Source organism: Homo sapiens, chromosome 11, assembly GCF_000001405.40.
Source record: "Homo sapiens chromosome 11, GRCh38.p14 Primary Assembly".
NCBI lineage: Eukaryota > Metazoa > Chordata > Mammalia > Primates > Hominidae > Homo > Homo sapiens.
Window position 1 is genome coordinate 75522933 of NC_000011.10, and position 16577 is coordinate 75539509.

At 53.0% G+C, this 16577-nt stretch overlaps 1 protein-coding gene across 12 annotated transcripts in view, besides 12 other annotated features; it reads right to left on the reverse strand.

The window, feature by feature from the left end:
* Positions 1 to 3009, reverse strand: part of GDPD5 (glycerophosphodiester phosphodiesterase domain containing 5) — a 91302-nt gene extending 88293 nt beyond the window's left edge. For 6 of the 12 annotated variants that reach the window (XM_047427654.1, XM_047427645.1, XM_047427653.1 and 3 more), the window contains exons 1-2: positions 2857 to 3009; positions 2278 to 2641 (exon numbers count right to left, since the gene is read on the reverse strand). The gene's annotated coding sequence lies outside the window, so the exon portion shown is untranslated. 12 annotated transcript variants of the gene reach the window in all.
* Positions 383 to 432: an enhancer, noted in NCBI's record as "active region_5268". NCBI's record gives its function as "activates an Ori minimal core promoter by ATAC-STARR-seq in GM12878 lymphoblastoid cells {active_cell/tissue: GM12878}" and the evidence as "EXISTENCE:reporter gene assay evidence [ECO:0000049][PMID:35858748]".
* Positions 2360 to 2860: an enhancer, noted in NCBI's record as "H3K4me1 hESC enhancer chr11:75236337-75236837 (GRCh37/hg19 assembly coordinates)". NCBI's record gives its function as "activates a minimal SCP1, AML or CMV promoter by ChIP-STARR-seq in naive and primed H9 embryonic stem cells {active_cell/tissue: H9 hESC(naive and primed)}" and the evidence as "EXISTENCE:reporter gene assay evidence [ECO:0000049][PMID:30033119]".
* Positions 2360 to 3226: a biological region, named in NCBI's record as "H3K4me1 hESC enhancer GRCh37_chr11:75236337-75236837".
* Positions 2707 to 3226: a silencer, noted in NCBI's record as "silent region_3766". NCBI's record gives its function as "represses an Ori minimal core promoter by ATAC-STARR-seq in GM12878 lymphoblastoid cells {active_cell/tissue: GM12878}" and the evidence as "EXISTENCE:reporter gene assay evidence [ECO:0000049][PMID:35858748]".
* Positions 3277 to 3336: a silencer, noted in NCBI's record as "silent region_3767". NCBI's record gives its function as "represses an Ori minimal core promoter by ATAC-STARR-seq in GM12878 lymphoblastoid cells {active_cell/tissue: GM12878}" and the evidence as "EXISTENCE:reporter gene assay evidence [ECO:0000049][PMID:35858748]".
* Positions 8716 to 9532: an enhancer, noted in NCBI's record as "H3K27ac-H3K4me1 hESC enhancer chr11:75242693-75243509 (GRCh37/hg19 assembly coordinates)". NCBI's record gives its function as "activates a minimal SCP1, AML or CMV promoter by ChIP-STARR-seq in naive and primed H9 embryonic stem cells {active_cell/tissue: H9 hESC(naive and primed)}" and the evidence as "EXISTENCE:reporter gene assay evidence [ECO:0000049][PMID:30033119]".
* Positions 8716 to 9569: a biological region, named in NCBI's record as "H3K27ac-H3K4me1 hESC enhancer GRCh37_chr11:75242693-75243509".
* Positions 9490 to 9569: a silencer, noted in NCBI's record as "silent region_3768". NCBI's record gives its function as "represses an Ori minimal core promoter by ATAC-STARR-seq in GM12878 lymphoblastoid cells {active_cell/tissue: GM12878}" and the evidence as "EXISTENCE:reporter gene assay evidence [ECO:0000049][PMID:35858748]".
* Positions 11292 to 12478: a transcriptional cis regulatory region, noted in NCBI's record as "candidate enhancer chr11.4348 targeted for multiplex CRISPR interference". NCBI's record gives its function as "positively regulates SERPINH1 gene expression with high confidence in K562 cells {active_cell/tissue: K562}" and the evidence as "EXISTENCE:mutant phenotype evidence [ECO:0000015][PMID:30612741]".
* Positions 14050 to 14550: a silencer, noted in NCBI's record as "fragment chr11:75248027-75248527 (GRCh37/hg19 assembly coordinates)". NCBI's record gives its function as "represses an EF-1alpha promoter that drives an FKBP-Casp9 reporter gene in an ReSE screen in phorbol 12-myristate 13-acetate-treated (for megakaryocytic differentiation) K562 erythroleukemia cells {active_cell/tissue: K562(+PMA)}" and the evidence as "EXISTENCE:reporter gene assay evidence [ECO:0000049][PMID:32094911]".
* Positions 14540 to 14589: an enhancer, noted in NCBI's record as "active region_5269". NCBI's record gives its function as "activates an Ori minimal core promoter by ATAC-STARR-seq in GM12878 lymphoblastoid cells {active_cell/tissue: GM12878}" and the evidence as "EXISTENCE:reporter gene assay evidence [ECO:0000049][PMID:35858748]".
* Positions 14750 to 14819: an enhancer, noted in NCBI's record as "active region_5270". NCBI's record gives its function as "activates an Ori minimal core promoter by ATAC-STARR-seq in GM12878 lymphoblastoid cells {active_cell/tissue: GM12878}" and the evidence as "EXISTENCE:reporter gene assay evidence [ECO:0000049][PMID:35858748]".

The window sequence follows — 16577 nt, forward strand, 5'->3', positions numbered from 1 at the left end:
GACTGATTCTAGAGGCTATGAGACTAGGGGAGTGTGACCCACACAGCAGCCTGAGCTGAGCAAATTCAGGTCTCTGAGCCTGCCCTGCAACCATATCCTGCGTTCTAATCGAAGACAAGTCTGAGAATTTCCCCAGACTTCCTGGTCAAACTTCAAGCTTCCTTTTCTTCATAGGGATGGAAACGGATATTTGGCCAGGCACTGCATCTTTGTAGCTCATTTAATCCTCGCAACAACCTGCTAAAGGAGGTATTCTAATTTTATAGGCTCAGAGGGATGAAGTGATTTGCTCAGTGCCACTCAGCTAGTGGGAGGCACAGTAGACTCACGCCCACCTGGTCTGTCTGATTTACCACTATCTGGGATTCACCAGTTACTGTGGCTCGAGGCTGCCGCTTAGCCCGTCTGGGTAACTTCCAGGGCACCTGGTATGCAGCTGGCACTCAAACAGTTCTACAAGCAAACTCAAAGGCCCTGGGGAAGTGGTTTTACCTCTCTGAGCTTCAGTTGCCCACACGAGACTGGGCCATTAATAACCTCCCCAGTCTTGGCAAGTACAACATGCCCCTTAGCACTTGACAGCCAGATGTGATGGCCCCACTAACTGAGCAGGTAACACACAGCCTGCCATAACCTATTTTAAAGTGGCACTTGGAACCATGGATGCATCAAGAGGTCACAAGTGACTCTGCAACCCTCCTCTGCTTCACTCTAGGTTCCAGGCTCTCTCCACGTCATGAAAGGAGATCACAGGTGTGAAATTATTTCATCAAAGAGCTTTGTTTAGACATAGAGATTATTGCGAGGATTTGAAGCCCCAGACAGAGGTCTGGGGTAGAGGGAATCCCAAGCCCCTCAGTCACCTTGTCTTTTGGGATCCCCTAACCCTTCCACCCCCAGGGATTGAGCTTCAGACTTCCACAGACCTCTCACCACGCTCCTCCACCTTCCAGGGGCTTTCCAAGGTGGTTTCCCCTTGACTCCAGGGAGTTGGGCATCTCTAGGGTTAACTAGGCCTAGCCAAGGCCACAGGGCCCAGACCAAGGCCATATCCCCTCCCCGTCCCCACACAGAATAAGAGCCCACAGAGTCCATGCCAAGGGCTCTTTCACAACACCCCTCTCCCTACATGCCTTGGGGGCAGCAGAAGCATCCCCTGCCTGGGAATAAAGACACCTGGGACTGTGCCCCAGCCCTGGGAGCCCCCAGCCTTGAGACCTTGAGCAGGTCCCTTCCTTCCTGGGCAGAGGTATCCTGCAGGTTCCCCTGCCCAGAAGAAAATGAGGTTGGACCTTCCATTTGGGCCAAAGGCAATGCGGTTGCAGGCATTCCTCGGGGCCCCAGCAACCAACCACACTAATTCTCACCACAGCCTCATACATGGTCGCCCAGATCTCACATCAGCGATAGGGAAAGCCCCAGCCACCTATCCAGAAGATCCTAACTGGGGAGGAGTGTGCATACCTTGAAGGATGCTCAGGAAGGTTTTCTCAAGTCTACTTGTGGCTCAAGGACTCACTGGCTTTAGGATCGGACAACTGGCACTCCCTTCGGGTGGGCCTCAGTGTCCCCATTAGTAATGTGAGGGAGGTGAGTCACGTGAGCCACATCTCCAGCCACCCCAGAGGGGCTACATCTCCAGCTCTGACAGACCCTTACTTGGGGATCTCTGCAGTGAATTCACCAACAGATAAGCACGTCTCAGGACCTCCAGAGTGTCTTAGAGACCCTGGAGTCTGACACACAAGGGCCAGGAGCTGCTGCTCTCACATCCTGGGCCCACAGGGAGAGAAGCTTTGGAACTGGGAAGCTTCCCACCTCTACCCTCAACTCTGAGTCACCTTTCCTCGCGGGTGACATGGCCAGGGAGCGGGAGGCAAGAAGAAGCCACTTCCTCAGCTTTAGCATCAGCGCTCAAGTGCTCTGCCTCTTCCCCCTCTATCCTCTCCCGCTTCCCCAGTCTCCTCCCCGCAGTGAAAGGAGGTCACTCAGCCCCGTTAAGCCTCAGTTTCTCCATCTGCAAGCGCCGATAATAATACACAACACCTATTTCAGGAGTAGCAGTGAGGCTTAGGCGGGGCGGGGCGGGGCAGGGCGCGAACCCGCACACAATGGGCGCTCAATAAGTACCCGTTTTCTTTCTTTCCCCTCCCCTTCCCGCGCCCCCTCCCAGCCAGTTCCAGCCTCTGCTTGTTTCCCCTGACACTCCCTCCGCTGGCCCCCGCGCTGCCGCGATGGGGTCGGGGACCGCTCCTGCCGCGCATCCGGGGCTCTCACCTGCAGCCTTGGCTCTCGCAGGCCGCCGGGACAGAAGGGGACCCCTGTGTTATCTTCGGGGCAGGCGCTGAACCCCTCACCTGAGGCGGGACGAAGGTGACAGCCTGGGCTCGCGGCACCAGCCCGGCGGTTCGGTCCGACTGTCCTGCCCGCCTAGGACCCCTCACCGAGCGCACGACCCGGCCAGGGCTTCCCGGGCGCTCGCGCTGTTCCAAGCTGTTCCAACTGAAGGTTGGGGTCTCGTGAAGCCAGAGGCTGGGGGGGTCCGGGGTCCCGTGCACCGGAGGCGAGGGCCTGGGGCCACACTGCGCTAGCCCTGGAGCTGGGGTTCCGACCCTCACTGACGGAAAGGCGCGGAGCGACCCTGCAACCACGGACCGGTACGGCGGCGTTAGGAGCGTCCCGTCCCGGCGCAGCGGGTCAGGGCCGGGGCTCCGCGCGTCCCGGCCGCACGCCCCGAACCGCGGGGCTGGGACGGGCAGGGCAGGGCAGGCGCCGGCGGGGAGGCGCGGCGGCCGGAGCCCCGCGGGGAAGTCTTTCCAGGTCCCGACTCGGCTCTCTCTGCAAAACGGGGCGAACCTCGGCGCGGCGGCCGACTCCCGAGCTCCCGGCCGCGGCTCCACTTCCTCCTCTTCCCCTGCTCCCTCGCCGCTCGCTCAGCGCCGCGCCGCTGCCACCTCCGCTGTCATCCCCGCCACCCACCCCCACCGGAGCCGCAGCCCGAGCTCAGCCGAAACAGCGCCGCCCAGCGCCCCAGCGCCAGCCTGCGCGGCCCCGCCCGGACGGGGCGGAGTCAGCAGAGACCCCGCCCCCGGCCGGCTGCGGGCAGGGGCGGGGTGCGCGCCCTCTCCCCTTCCCGGGCCTCGCGCGTGGGGCCGCAGGAGCCAATCCGAGGGTGGGAGCGGAGCGGCGCCCTGCGGAAAGCGGATTCTACCTCGGAGAGGGCGGGGCGGACAATGGAGAGGTGCGGCTGCAAGAGGACAATGGCGGGGCTGGGGGTTCGGAACGGGCCGAATCGGGGAGGGGGTTGGCCTCGGGACCCGGAAGGAGGGAGAGGCGAGAGGGCTGGCTTGCCTGGGACGGGGGCATGGGGACTGCTGTGCGGGGATTGCGGGGGTCACGGGGAAGGAGCAGGGGCCAGTGTAGGAAAAGAAGCCGGGGCGAGGCAAGGTGGAGGATATCCGGGGTCAGGGGTCCCAGGGACGCTGGAGCGAGCCCTCCTGAGTGGTGGGATGCCACCGACACCTTGCTTCTCCCTAGCTTCTAGTGCTCGGCGCTCAGAGGTGAGAGTTGGGCTGGGAAGTGTTCAGATTTCAGGAAACGGTGAAAAATAAGTTTTTGGAAATGAGCGAATTTGTCTTCCACAAGCCTCCCTTCCCTGCGCCCATCCCCGAGGAGGAGCGTCGTGGTCAATTTTAAAAATACGAACTCAAGAGCAGAGTTGTGTGAGGACACACACTTCGAATCGTGATGCATCTGCAGTCCGCTCCCGCCCCTTCCCACCCCGCGCGTTGGGTGCAGGAGCCGTCTTTATTTTCTATTTCATTTTATTTTGAGACAGGGTCCCGCTCTGTGGCCCAGGCTGGAGTGCAGTGGCACTATCACGGCTCACTGCAGCCTCGAACTTCCAGGCTAAAGAGATCCTCCCACCTGTGCCTCCGGAGTAGCTGTGACTACAGGCGTGCACCACCACATCTGGCTAATTTTTAAATTTTTTGTAGAGACAGGGTCTCCCTATGTTTTCCAGGCTGGTCTCGATCTCCTGGGTTCCGGCGATCCTCCTGCCTCGACCTCCCAAAGTGCTGAGATTATAGGTGTGAGCCCTGTGCTTGGCCAAGGAGCCGTCTTCAGTGTGTGCACAGGACCAGGCGCAGAGAAGGTGTTGGAGGGAACTGATGTATGAATGAAAGTTGAATGTGTGCCGCGGGGGAGTGGGGTAGGGACCATGTGAAAGCCGCTAACTGGCCTGGGGAGCTAAGGGATGTTGGTGGCACAGTACAGTCTCTTTGTAAACCTCACACCAACCTTATGTTGTGATAGGTACCCCATTTCACAGATGAGGACTCAGCACAGAGAGGCTAAGTGACGTTCCCGAGACCACACAGCTGGCACAGAGTTCTATCCACCCATCATTATCAAATTCTAGGGTAAAGCTGTGTGGCTTTAACAGGTTACTCTCCCTCTCTGAGCCTCTGTTTCCTCATCTATAAAAGAAGAATAAAGGTGCTACTTGGCAGGGAACCAGGTGAGGGACTGGGCAGGCAGCAGGCTTCAGAGGGTGAAGCATGGGCATTCCCTGCAAAAGAAATGGCATCAGACTATGGCTGAGAGACTGGTTGGAAGAACAAAGAAGAGGGTGAGCTGGAGGCTGAAGTTCAGGCTGCGGACTTGAGGGTGCCCTGTCTTCTTCAGGCCCAGGGGTTGGGAGTAGGCAAGTTGGGCCCAGGAAGTTGGGACTGGTCTCTGGAGCCTGAGGGCTGGGAGAAGGCAGTTTTGCCTTTACTTGTTGAACTTGACGCTAAGAAACCTTGTGGCCCTTCCCTCTGTCCAGAGCCCTCTCTGGCTCCCGGTTGCCAGCATGACCAAGCCCTACATCCCTAGCCTGGCGTTCCAGCCCCTTTGTTATTGCTCTCTGCCTGCTGACTCCACCAGCCTCATCTCCCCATTGCTTACTTCCCTCTCTACTTGCGCCAACTTCTCTCAGCTCCATCAGCAAGCAGGATGCATTCTGTCTCCATGCAGTTGTCTCCTCCATGTGTTGCTTTGCTGTTCCCCTTCTCTCTGGAGTTAATTCTCATTTCTCTGCTGGGCTGAAGGGCAGAACCTCTAGGCCAAATGCTCATCTGTTCTCTTCACTGCTGTATCCCCAGAGCCTAGCACGGAGCCTGGCACATAGTAGGTGCCAAGTAAACAATTGTTGAATAAATGACCCATCTCTCATGAGATTTATCAAGATTTATCTCCACCAAGATTTATCACCACCTCCGAGAAGCCTTCCTGAACTCCCCCAGGCTGCCTGCCTTTGGTCTGGGCTCCCTCAGCTTGAAGGTTCTGTAATGATTGATTTCCATGTCTGGTTTCCCTCCCACCCGCCACCATCCAGCCTGGTACATGGCCTGCCCTTGTGAGATCTCGGCACTGGGAGATGAATGAGGCTCTCAGAGAGTTCTCTGGCTGCCCCTGCTGCGAGAGCCTCCTTAGCTGGGTCAGATGAGCAGGATGTCAGAATAAAAGGAGATTTTCAGAACAGACCCTCCATGACCCCTGAGGCGCTGGGGGTGTGTGAGGGGGAGGCATGCCCAAGGTCGTCAGGAGGTGACTAGCAAACAGGTCTCAAGACACCCACATTTGCCCTCTGGCCACTCTTCCAAAGGGGAGGGAGTCTTGTGAGCTGGGGAATCTGGCCTTTTGGTGGCCAAGGAGTTCCATGAAGCATGACAGAGGTGGTCATGGTGGCTGGTCTGGGCGGTGGTCGAGGGTGAGGCTACACGGAAACATTAGCCTTTTCTGCCTGATGCCCTACTTCTCCCAAGAACCTTCTACCTTCCTTACATTCTTCTCACCGGAGGCAGCAGCTTCAGCTTCGGGCCCCAGGGCTGTTAAACGCAGCTCCTCCCATTCTTATGGCAGATAGACATTCACTTTCACGTCTACATTTATATTAGTATTTTGCAGTTTTTCTTAAACAGGGCCACTGAATTGTATGAGGCTCCACACCCCTGGAGATCTACTTCCAACAAATCCTTCCACTGCGTCCATATATGCAGGTCCTGTGTGAGGCGTTGGCAGGGACGCTCTGCCCTCCTGCAGCTCCCTGTCTGGTGGGGTGATTGGGCTCCACTGAGCTCATTGAGCCCTCAAAATGCTTCATGCCTTCCTACCCCTCTGCCTCCGTCCCTGCCAGCCTGGAGTCCTTTCCCTGTCCCTCCTGCCTGCATGTGTCCCGCTTGCCTAGTGGATTTTCTCCATCCTTCAAGGCCCTTCTCACAAGCTGATGCCTCTGAGAACCCTGCCCACTTCTCCCAGTGACAAGCACAGCCTCTTCCTTTGGAGCCTGTGGCACCGAAGGCCCTTTGCCTCTTCTGATGCCTTTGGATCTGGGCTGCTGTTGATGGGTCAATTTTCCCACCAGATTATGAGCTTTTGGAGGGCAAGGGGTGGAGTCTGATTTCTCGCTGCCCGAGTCCCTCATTCACCAATGTTTCCTGAGTTGGACCAAGTCCTATACCAAACATTGGGTATCCAGGGATGGGACAATCAGATGAGAACCTGCCCTCATCATCGAGGAGCCCCCAGTCCCAGAGCTGTCTGCATGGAAATGTGTACCAAGTGCTTTCTGAACAGAGGAGGCTGCCTGATTCAGCTGGAGGAGGGCAAGCTGGGTCAAGGGCAGCTTCACAGGGAGGGTGACACTTGGGTATTTAAGAAGCAGAACTTATCAAGATAAGGAGGGAAGCGTCTTCTGGGCAGACGGAACATTGAGCGCAAAGGCATGAAAGTGGGAATGGGCAGGTGGAGGGTGAGAAGTTAGTGTATTTAGGGCAACAGAAATGACGGAGGGAGAAGTGGGTTGCACAACAGAGCAGTTAGAGCACAGACTCTGGAGCCACATGGCCTAGGTTCGAATCCTGACACTACCAAGTGCTAGCTCTGTTGTTACTCAGTGCCTCAGTTTCCTTATCTGTAGAGTGGGGATAATCCCAGTACTTACTTTGTAGGATATTTATAAGGATTAAGTGAGTTAATTTTTGTAAGGCACCTAGGGTAGTGTTGATGACACACGTAAGTTCCTAGTGAGTGTTAGGTAAATGAGGGGGAGCCGGAGAGGCCATGATAGGTGGGGTTCATGTTTGGAATTTATCTGGAGGACATTGGAGCATTAGCAAGGAGGGAGTGTGAAGGGGAGTGGGAAGCTTGGCTTGGACCCAGCCTGCTCTGCCCACTCACGCACATCCAGAGGGCATCCCTGGGACCCCCACCTGCCTGCCCCTCCTGCTCTCTGGTCTTCCACTGCCCTCAGTGGCCCTGTGGCCTCAACTAACCTCAGCTGATGTATAACAGGGCTGTAGGAGCTGGGGCCACACCTACCCCAGTACACCTGGGGGAAACTTTATGTTCCAGTTTATTGCCAAAGGAGGTCAAGTAGGGGTCCCGAGGGGATCCGGGACACATGTGCAGGGTGAGCATCTGAGCTGTAGCCTGGCTTAACGCATGGTGGATTTGGTAAGAGTGTGTATGTGGAATGGGGAGTGGAGAGGGGCTGGAGGCACTTGCCTGGCCTGGAGAGCTGGTTGGATGTAGGGCACTGTGGGCTGTGATGCTGTGGGCTTGGGAGCCAGGTGCACATCCTGGCCCAGTCACCTTCCCTCTCTGTGCCTGAGATTCCTGTGGGTAAAAGGGAGATGAAAATAGTAGCTCCTTCAGGCCGGTTAGCTCAGTTGGGAAAAAAAAGAAAAAGAAAATAGTGGCTACTTCAAAGGTGGTAAGGATGAAAAGATCAAATGTTCAGTCAGTGAGGCCTGAGGTACATGGTGTATATCTGGGAGACCAAAATCAATTCTGTAGTACCAAGGCCGAAAGGTCAAGAGAGACTGTGGCTGGAGAGCCAGGCAGAGGGACGTGCCACACAAGGTCTTAGTCAAGAGTTGGCCTCTGTGCTGAGGGTGGAGGGGAGCCATGGGAGGGTTTCACAGGGACAACAAGGTCATATGTGCTTCTCAGAGATCACTGAGGTAGACAGACTGGGGCCTGTGTTAAGAGTCAAGGTGACAAGGAGAGGCGCGGGTCTGAGCCTGGGCCCCGGCTGTGGCCCAAGTGGGTGGGAGGCATCCCAGAACATCTACAGGGAAAGAGGCTCGAGCTACTGATTTGTGTCCACGTAGGGCAAGAGTGAGCTAGAAATGCCTGGGTGACTCCCAGGGCCCAGCTGGTGGTGCCATTTCCTGGGGTGGGGAGCCTGGAGATGCAGGTATGGGGAAAGGTGATGATGTGGCTTGGGGACACAGTGAGTTTGAGGGACCATTGGGAGATACATGGGATATTCCTCGGTAGAGCTCTGGGGGGCGGGGCCGGGCTTGAGTCCACCTCTTGGGAATGGACAGCCTTTGGGAGGAGAGGCTGAGTAGCCCCTGGGAGGGAAGCGTGGCTCACCACGGATGAAAACCAACAGGGAGGGGATGGGCAGGGGCAGGGGCCTGAGGAGGAGCCCTCTGAGGGGAAGAAGAGGACAGAGGGGAGCAGACAGTGAGAGGAGAGTGTGCAGGGAGAGGTTAGCCAGGGCCGGGAGGGCCAGGATGGAGGTGTCCCCTGGGGTGGGCCATTGGGACTGTGGGTGACTTGGGAAGGGTGATGTGCATAGGGTGGGAGGCAGGAGCAGGGGCTCACTTGGTGACATGGTGGACAGCCCCTTTCAGGGCAGCTGGCAGGGCAACATGGTTGGATGGCAGCTGGCGGGGAAGGCAGAGGCAGAGGAGGGTTTTGGTTTTGGTGTTGGTTCCTGGAGGAGGGCTTCAGTTAAAGCTCTGTGAATAAGGGAGGGGCAGGAAGCTGACCTGGGACTGAGGAGAGGCTGTATTTGGGGGTTGGGGGTGAGGACCACAGTGGGGACAGGAGAGACAGAGCTGAAGCAGCCCCTTCTCACTTCGTAGAGGGGGCTTTGGGAAATGTCTGTGTCAAGTTAATAAAAAATGATATCATGGCTGGGTGGGGTAGCTGACACATGTAATCCCAGCACTTTGGGAGGCCAAGGCGGATGGATCACTTGAGGCCAGGGGTTTGAGACCAGCCTGGCCAACATAGTGAAACCCCATCTCTACTAAAAATACAAAAATTAGCCACGTGTGGTGGTGCATGCCTGTAGTCCCAGCTACTTGGGAAGCATGAGGCATGAGGTGGAGGCTGCAGAGAGCTGAGATCGTGCCACTTCACTCCACCCTGGGAGACCCTGTCTCAAAAAAAAAAAGATACCTGACCCCCTTTCTCATTCTCCTGGATCACTGTTCAGGCTCCAGTCTTGCAAGGCTGGGGAGCTTCACATTCCTTTCTGACCCCAGATCCTGGAAGCTTCCTCTCCCACCAGGTCTTGTCGCCAGCCAGTGGGAATAACCGAGGTCACCATAATGCCATGCTGACCCTTCCCCAGAGCCTTTGGATGCTCACTAGAAGAACTATCTGCTTTGTCCCCACCATTGTCAGTTGCCGGGGACTGCTTCCCTCCAACCCCCACCATGAACTTGCCAGATTGATTTCTGTGTCGCAGCACAGGGTGTGGCCACACCCAGTAGGCACTCAATACCTTTAACTGTAGAAATGCAGAGGGAATGCCTTCATTTGGCTGCCTCTGCTGCCCCCTGCTGTCTGAGACTGGTTGGTACAACATTAAAGGGCTGGTTCTGGAACTTAATGGTTTCGGGACCCCTTTTCTTGCCTAAAAATTATTGAGGACCCCAAAGAACATCTGTTTATACGTTTTATGTCTATTGGTATTTACAGTAATATAAATTTAAATTGATATGTTTTTAAAATATTCATATTATATGATTAAAATAATAAATGTAGTGTAACAACATATTTTTAGAAAAAATATTTCCCAAAATAAAAAATTAATGAGAAAAGTGGCATTATTTTATATGTTTACAAATTTCTTTAATGTCTTGATAGAAGACAGCTGGATTTTCAAACACACTTCTGCATTTAATCTGATGCAATATGTTGTTTTAAGTGAAGTTTATGAAGAAAATACAGGCTTACGCAAATACATAGTTGTAAAAGGGATATGTTAACAGCCCTTTCAAATAATTGTGGCTATTCTTTTTTTTATTTTTTAGAGGCAGGATCTTGCTCTGTTGGCCAGGCTGGAGTGCAGTGGCATGATCATAGCTCACTGTAACCTCAAACTCTTGGGCTCAAGTGATCCTTTCACCTCAGCCTCCCAAGTAGCAAGGACTACAGGTACTCACCACCACACTCAGCTCATTTTTCTTTTTTTTGGTACAGATGGGGTCTCACTATGTTGCCCAGGCTGGTCTTTTCCTGGCCTCAAGCAATCCTCCTGCCTCAGCTTCCCTAAGTGCTGGGATTACAGGTGTGAACTACTGAGCCTGGCTATTCTTTTTTGATACTAGCCAAAACTTGACAAGTGCTGTTTTTTTTTTTTGAAGGTTAGTTGTGATTAGAATCTGAAATCTAGCCGGGCGCAGTGGCTCATGCCTGTAATCCCAGCACTTTGGGAGGCTGAGGTGGGTGGATCACGAGGTCAGGAGTTCGAGACCAGCTTGGCCAATATGGTGAAACCCCGTCTCTACTAAAAATACAAAAATTAGCTGGGCATGGTGGCGCCTGCCTGTAGTCCCAGCTGCTCGGGAGGCTGAGGCAGGAGAATCTCTTGAACCCGGGAGGCGGAGGTTGCAGTGAGCCAAGATTCTGCCACTGCACTCAGTCTCAAAAAAAAAAAAAAAAATCTGAAATCCTATCAATGAAATTTTTATGTTCAATTACATTAAAATACATTAGACTCTTTCGCATTTTGGATATATCTTTTGCCCAAGCATGATGTTATAACTTAATGCACTGGCTGTTTGGAAAAAAATGGTTCACCAAGTTATGCAGGTCTTTCAAATATTGACAAATATTAGTATACTATGTTTTAAAAATCACATTAGTTAATATCAACACCGATCTCATCAGAGAAGTCTTTAAGTATTGGGAAGCTGCCAAGGTCACAGTGGTGAACACAAGGTTTCTAAAATTCCAATTTTCACTTGAGCTTGGGTTTCATCATTAGCAATAAATACTGTCAGTTTGCTGTGAAATGACAGATTCATTTTATTCATTCTTGAGAAAATGTCTGCCAGAGACTCAAGTCTGCATAAGCATAATTTATCTGTCAGTATTTCTTTCAGGTCAAAATGGTGTTCCATGAAAAAAAAAAAGTGACTAGTTAAGCTCACAGTTCAAACAAGTGCAAATGCTTTTCTGGAGACAACCATTGTGCTGCATCGGATATGGCAGAAGTGCTCTATGTTGCTTCCCAGAATATTAAAAAGATGTATACTCAAGGACCAGTATATTGTGAATGGGATCATTTTTATTGCTGCATCAAAGACTTTCCTGGTCGATGTTGGCAGTGTTTTCCTATGAGGGCGTGGCAGTGAAAAATGCGATGACTTCCTGTACATCGCATTGGAGGCCGCCACGTTGGCTTTTGCACCGTCAGGGAAATGTCAACCCAGCAAAAAAGGCAAATGATGCCTTAGTCTCATTATGAAAAGAGTTTTGACCTTGCAGACTTCCCCAGCAGGGTCTGTACTTGGCATTCATGTTTTAATTTAACGTTCTCATACCAGAAGCAGGGCTCAGTCACCCTTGACACAGTTTCCAATACTATGCCCCACCCGAATGGCTCCAGCTGGTGGCTGGAGATAAAACTTAGAGGCTTCTCTCCCACCTAGCAGGCTGGCTCCTGGCCTTCCCGCTCTCTCCTTTAAACGGACCATTCAGACATGAGCTTGTCAACTGGAAGTGACCACCTCTCAGTCACAGTGTGACCAACTGGAACTAGTGCCTGCTTGCTTTAAACCTACCAATTAAAGCTCCCTGAGGGAAAGCTGGACACCCTCGACCCAATATAGGCAGTGGCCCATGGGTCTTGTCTCTTCCTGCCTGCACTCCCTGACGTGTGTGTGTGTGTGTGTGTGTGTGTGTGTCCGTGTGTGAGAGAGAGACAGAGACACCTCTGTTGTGCCCTCCAGGGTGTGTAAGTACTAAACATTTTTACACTTTCACACTGTGGTTTTATCCCCTGAAGGTGAGGCCACTGAAGGACCCATGCAGGTGGGTCCCCTCCCTACTGGCGCTCTTTTTTTTTGAGCCCCTCCACTGTTGGGAACAGCTACCAGTTAAGTTGATAGAGTTTCCTTCAAAACATAGCCCTGACACCCTCTCAGAACAGAGGGGCCTCCTTATCTCCAGGAGCAGCAGGGGAGGGGGAAGGAAGAGGAGAGTTGAGAGAAGACACCTGCCCCTCTCATCATGTGCTTAAGAGGCACCCATGGGCACTGTTCAGGGCCGAAAATTAGAAATACCCCAACCAGCCAGTACCATGGGGGTGGTGATAGGAACCCTGGCTTCCTAGAATAACTCAGTTCCAGGAACCTGTGCTGAGGGCCCAGTCCATGCCAGACCTGAGGCTGGCACTAGAGATGCAAAATGCAATCAGACCCTGCCCCCTCCCCTTGAGGAGTGTTCAGTTTAGTGGGGGAGAGAAGGGTGCCACATCAGTAATAAAAACAGACCCCTTTATTTTTGTTAACTTTACCAAATGAAATTTTATAAATTCAAAGTGCCATCTACTGCTTCCTCCCGGGTTCTCTTCTTTCCCCCAGCACCCCTGCCCCCCAACACCAGGTTCTCTTCTGTAACACTCAACGCGAGGGTCCGAGGCTTCATTCTTGAAGTCAGTGAGACCAAGAACCCTCCAATTCCGGACACAGCGTCACCCTTATTATACAACAGGCTGTTTTCCTATGCTGTCCAAAACTGCATCGATTCCCCCTAAAGCCGCTCCTTCAGTATTCTCCATCTCTGTGACAGATCCCAACATCCTAGACATCACCCCCTATAGCCCGTCAGTCACAGAGATGCAGGGAAGGGAATTCTAAAGCTACTGGAGGCCAGGCATGGTGGCTCACGCCTATAAGCCCAGCACTTTGGGAGGCCGAGGCGGGCGGATCACTTGAGGTCAAGAGTTCAAGACCAGTCTGACCAACATGGTGAAACCCCGTCTCTACTAAAAATACAAAAATTAGCTGGGCCTGGTGGCGCGCGCCTGTAATTCCAGCCACTCGGGAGGCTGAGGGATGAGAATCACTTGAACCCAGGAGGTGGAAGTTGAGGTGAGCTGAGATTGCACCACTGCACTCCAGCCTGTGTGATGGAGTGACAGAAAGGGAGGGAGGGAGGGAGGGAGGAAGGAAGGAAGGAGGGGAGGAAGAGAACAAAAGAAAAAAAGAGAAAGCAAGCTAGCTACTGGAGTGTCCAGGCTCCCAACTCTGGAGTTTCTATCTCCTGAACATCTAAACATTTTTCCATCCACTCCTTGACCCTGTGGCTCCCATAATCACCTCCAAGGCCAGTGCCCATCATGTCAGCCTCTTCGGTGCTCTCCCTGCCTCCTCTCTTGCCCTCTCCTATCCACTTCCCACTATTTCAGATCTGAGCACAGCATTCTCTTGATTAAAACTCCTCAGTGGCTCCCCTCTCTTGGCTCTCAGCAGCACATGCTGGGCCCTCTACACCCAAGTCAACCTGGAAGGCACAGCTCCCGTGTCTCCTCCTCCAGGAAGCCTCCCTCTGACCATGAGGTGGGCCTACCATCTGGGAAAGGTGGAAGGGAAGGAGGGATTAAGTAGAAAGAGCCTCAGACTGCACTGCAGCTCCGAGAAAGCCTCAGCCAGCCCAGTGGGGAGGCCAGAGCACAAATTAGCTGTTAGAGGCTGGGCGTGGTGGCTCACACCTGTAGTCCCAGCTACTTGGGAGGCTGAGGCAGAAGGATCGCTTGAGCCTGGGAGGCGGAGGTTGCAGTGAGCTGAAATTGTGCCATTGTGCTCCAGCCTGGGCCACAGAGTGATACTCTGGCTCAAAAACAAACAAACAAAACAAAAACAAACAAACAAACAAAAAACAGAGGAGACATCTGCTGGGCAGAAACGGCCAGACCTCCTTCTCCCACTGAGCTGAGTCATTGGCTAGGGCTGCCCAAGGAGAAAGTGGCCTTGTCAGGAACACAGCAGTAGATCCCAGGGTGTTGCTGCTGGGATCTGTTGCTAACGACACTCCTGCTCTACACTCTCTTAAAGGAAGATCTGAGTGGCAAACCTCCATGGCTTGATGGATGTTAAAGTTGGAAGGAATTTAAGAGATGCTCTAGGCCAGCCGCTGTCACATTTTACAGATGAGAAAACTGAGGTTGGCCAGAGGAAGTGACTTGCCCAAAGCCACCCAGCATGTAAACCAATATGCAAACCCAGGTTCTGACACCCAAGTCTGCGCTCTTCTGAATCATTGCTGACTCAGAGTCACAGTGGGGCTAGAGGGCAGTGGGAGGAGAGTGGCAAGGTATGACTTCAGGACGCGGCTCAGGTGTCACTTCCTCACAGAAGCCCTGCCTGGACCCAAGCTCTTCTCTGGGCTCCCCGAGGCCTCTATCCACTCATTTACCAGTCAGTTCTGTGAATGTCAGCTTGTGTGTCTGCTTCCATGAGGCCATGTCCCCAGCACCCAGCATGGGACCCGGAACATCGTGCTACATGTGAAGGTACACGCCTCTGGTTTCTACTGCCCTCTCTGGCAGCTCAACCCTCCAGGACAGAAGAGCAATCGGTTCCGCTATTCGTTGCTTCCTTCCTTTCTTCCTGCTTTAAATAAATGTATACTGAGTGATTACTTCATACAGTCCTGGGGACACAGCGGTGAAAAATTTTGCCTTCATGAAATTTACTTTCTAGTAGAGGGAGGTAGACAATAAGCAAAACAAATACAAGGAGTGGTGTATTAGATGGGATACATGCTATGGGCAAAAGAAAGAGCCTCAGAGACAGAGGAGACCAGGAGGTGTCAGCGAGGACACTTGCCACTTAGAGGAGTCAAGGAAGCTGACGTTTGAGTAAAAGCCTGAAGCAGATGACAGGTGTGAAGGCCCCTGGTGTGTTCACACTAGGAGGCCAATGTGGCTGGAATGGAGGCAGTGATTGATGGGGTTGGGAGAGGTAAAAGACGAGCCTACGAGGTCACAGAGATTAAATCACAGAGGGCCTAGAGCCTGCAGTAGGAATTTGACTTTTACTCCAGTTGAAATGGGAAGGCATTGTAGAGTTCTAAGTAAAGAGGTGTCATTGTTTGACTTCTAAGTTAGACCTGGGGGATACGGTAAAGACAGGGGGGGAATGCCGCAGTCTGAGGAGAGGTGATGGCGGCTCAGATACAGTGACCGCAGGAGCCGTGTAACAGGTAGTCAGATTCTGTGGTGTCTTTTGGAGGTAGAGCCACAGGATTTTCTGATGAATTAAATGTAGGTTGTGAGACAAAGAGATGAGTCAAGGATGACCCCCATGTTTTGGCTTGATCACCTAGAAGGATGACATCACCCTTGTCTGACATGAGGAAGACGAGAGGGGTAGGTTTTGGGGAGCAGATCAGAATTCAGGATTGGACACGTTCATTTTCAGATGTCTTAGGCATCCAAGTAAAGATGTCAGGCACACAGTTGGATACACAAGTCTGGGGTCTGGGAGAGGTCCGGAAATGTGGGAGTTACAGGCATAGAGAAGGGATCTGAAGCCTTGAACTTGGATGACACTGTCAAGGAAACGGTGCTTGAGGGAGAAGAAAGAGGACCAAGGACTGAGCTCTGGAGCTCCCATATCAGGGCAGGAGGATCCTCTAGGGAGGTGGGAGGAAGAGCACAGTTGTGTGGTATTCTGGAAGGCAGGTGACGAAAGTGAAACCAAGGAGGGGCCGTTGGCAGGTTCCCTGCTGCTGCTACTGGTAAGGGAGAGCAGGATTGAGGACTGGCTACTGGATTTAGCAATGTGGAGGTCTTGGTGACCTTGAAGAGTTTCAGTGGAGTGATAAACGTGGGATGCTGGTTCAAGTGAGCTTGAGAGAGAACAGGAGGAAGGAACTGGAGACAAAGATAAGGACCACTCTTTTTTTTTTTTGAGACAGGGTCTTGCTGTCCCCCAGATTGGAGTGCAGCAGCGCAATCGCAATCATGGCTCACTGCAGCCTCAATCTCCTAGGCTCAGGTGATTTTCCCACCTCAGGCCCCCAGGTAGTTGGGATCACAGGCACATGCCACCACGCCCAGCTAATTTTTTAAAAATTATTTTTAGAGATGGGGGTCTCACCATGTTGCCCAGGCTGGTCTCGAACTCCTGGGCTCAAGTGATCCTCCCACCTCACCCTCCCAAAGTGCTGGGATTACAAGCATGAGCTACCATGCCTGGCCTAGACCACCTTTTTTAGGAGTTCTGATGGAAAGGGAAGGAAGGAAAGGGGATGAAGAGAAAAACTGAGAATGTTTTTATGAGATAGAATGTGTGTATGCTGACGGGAAAGGTCTAGATGAGAGAACAGTGGAAGATACGGGGGAGATGGAGGGACTGCCGCAGCCATGGCCTTGAGTAGCTGAGGGGGTGGAATCCAGCCACATAAGCAGGGGTCGACCTTCTGAGGAGTGCGTGGTTTTATCCATCGAGAGAAGGCAGATGCAAGGAGATTGGTCGGTGTGGTGGTGGAGCCTC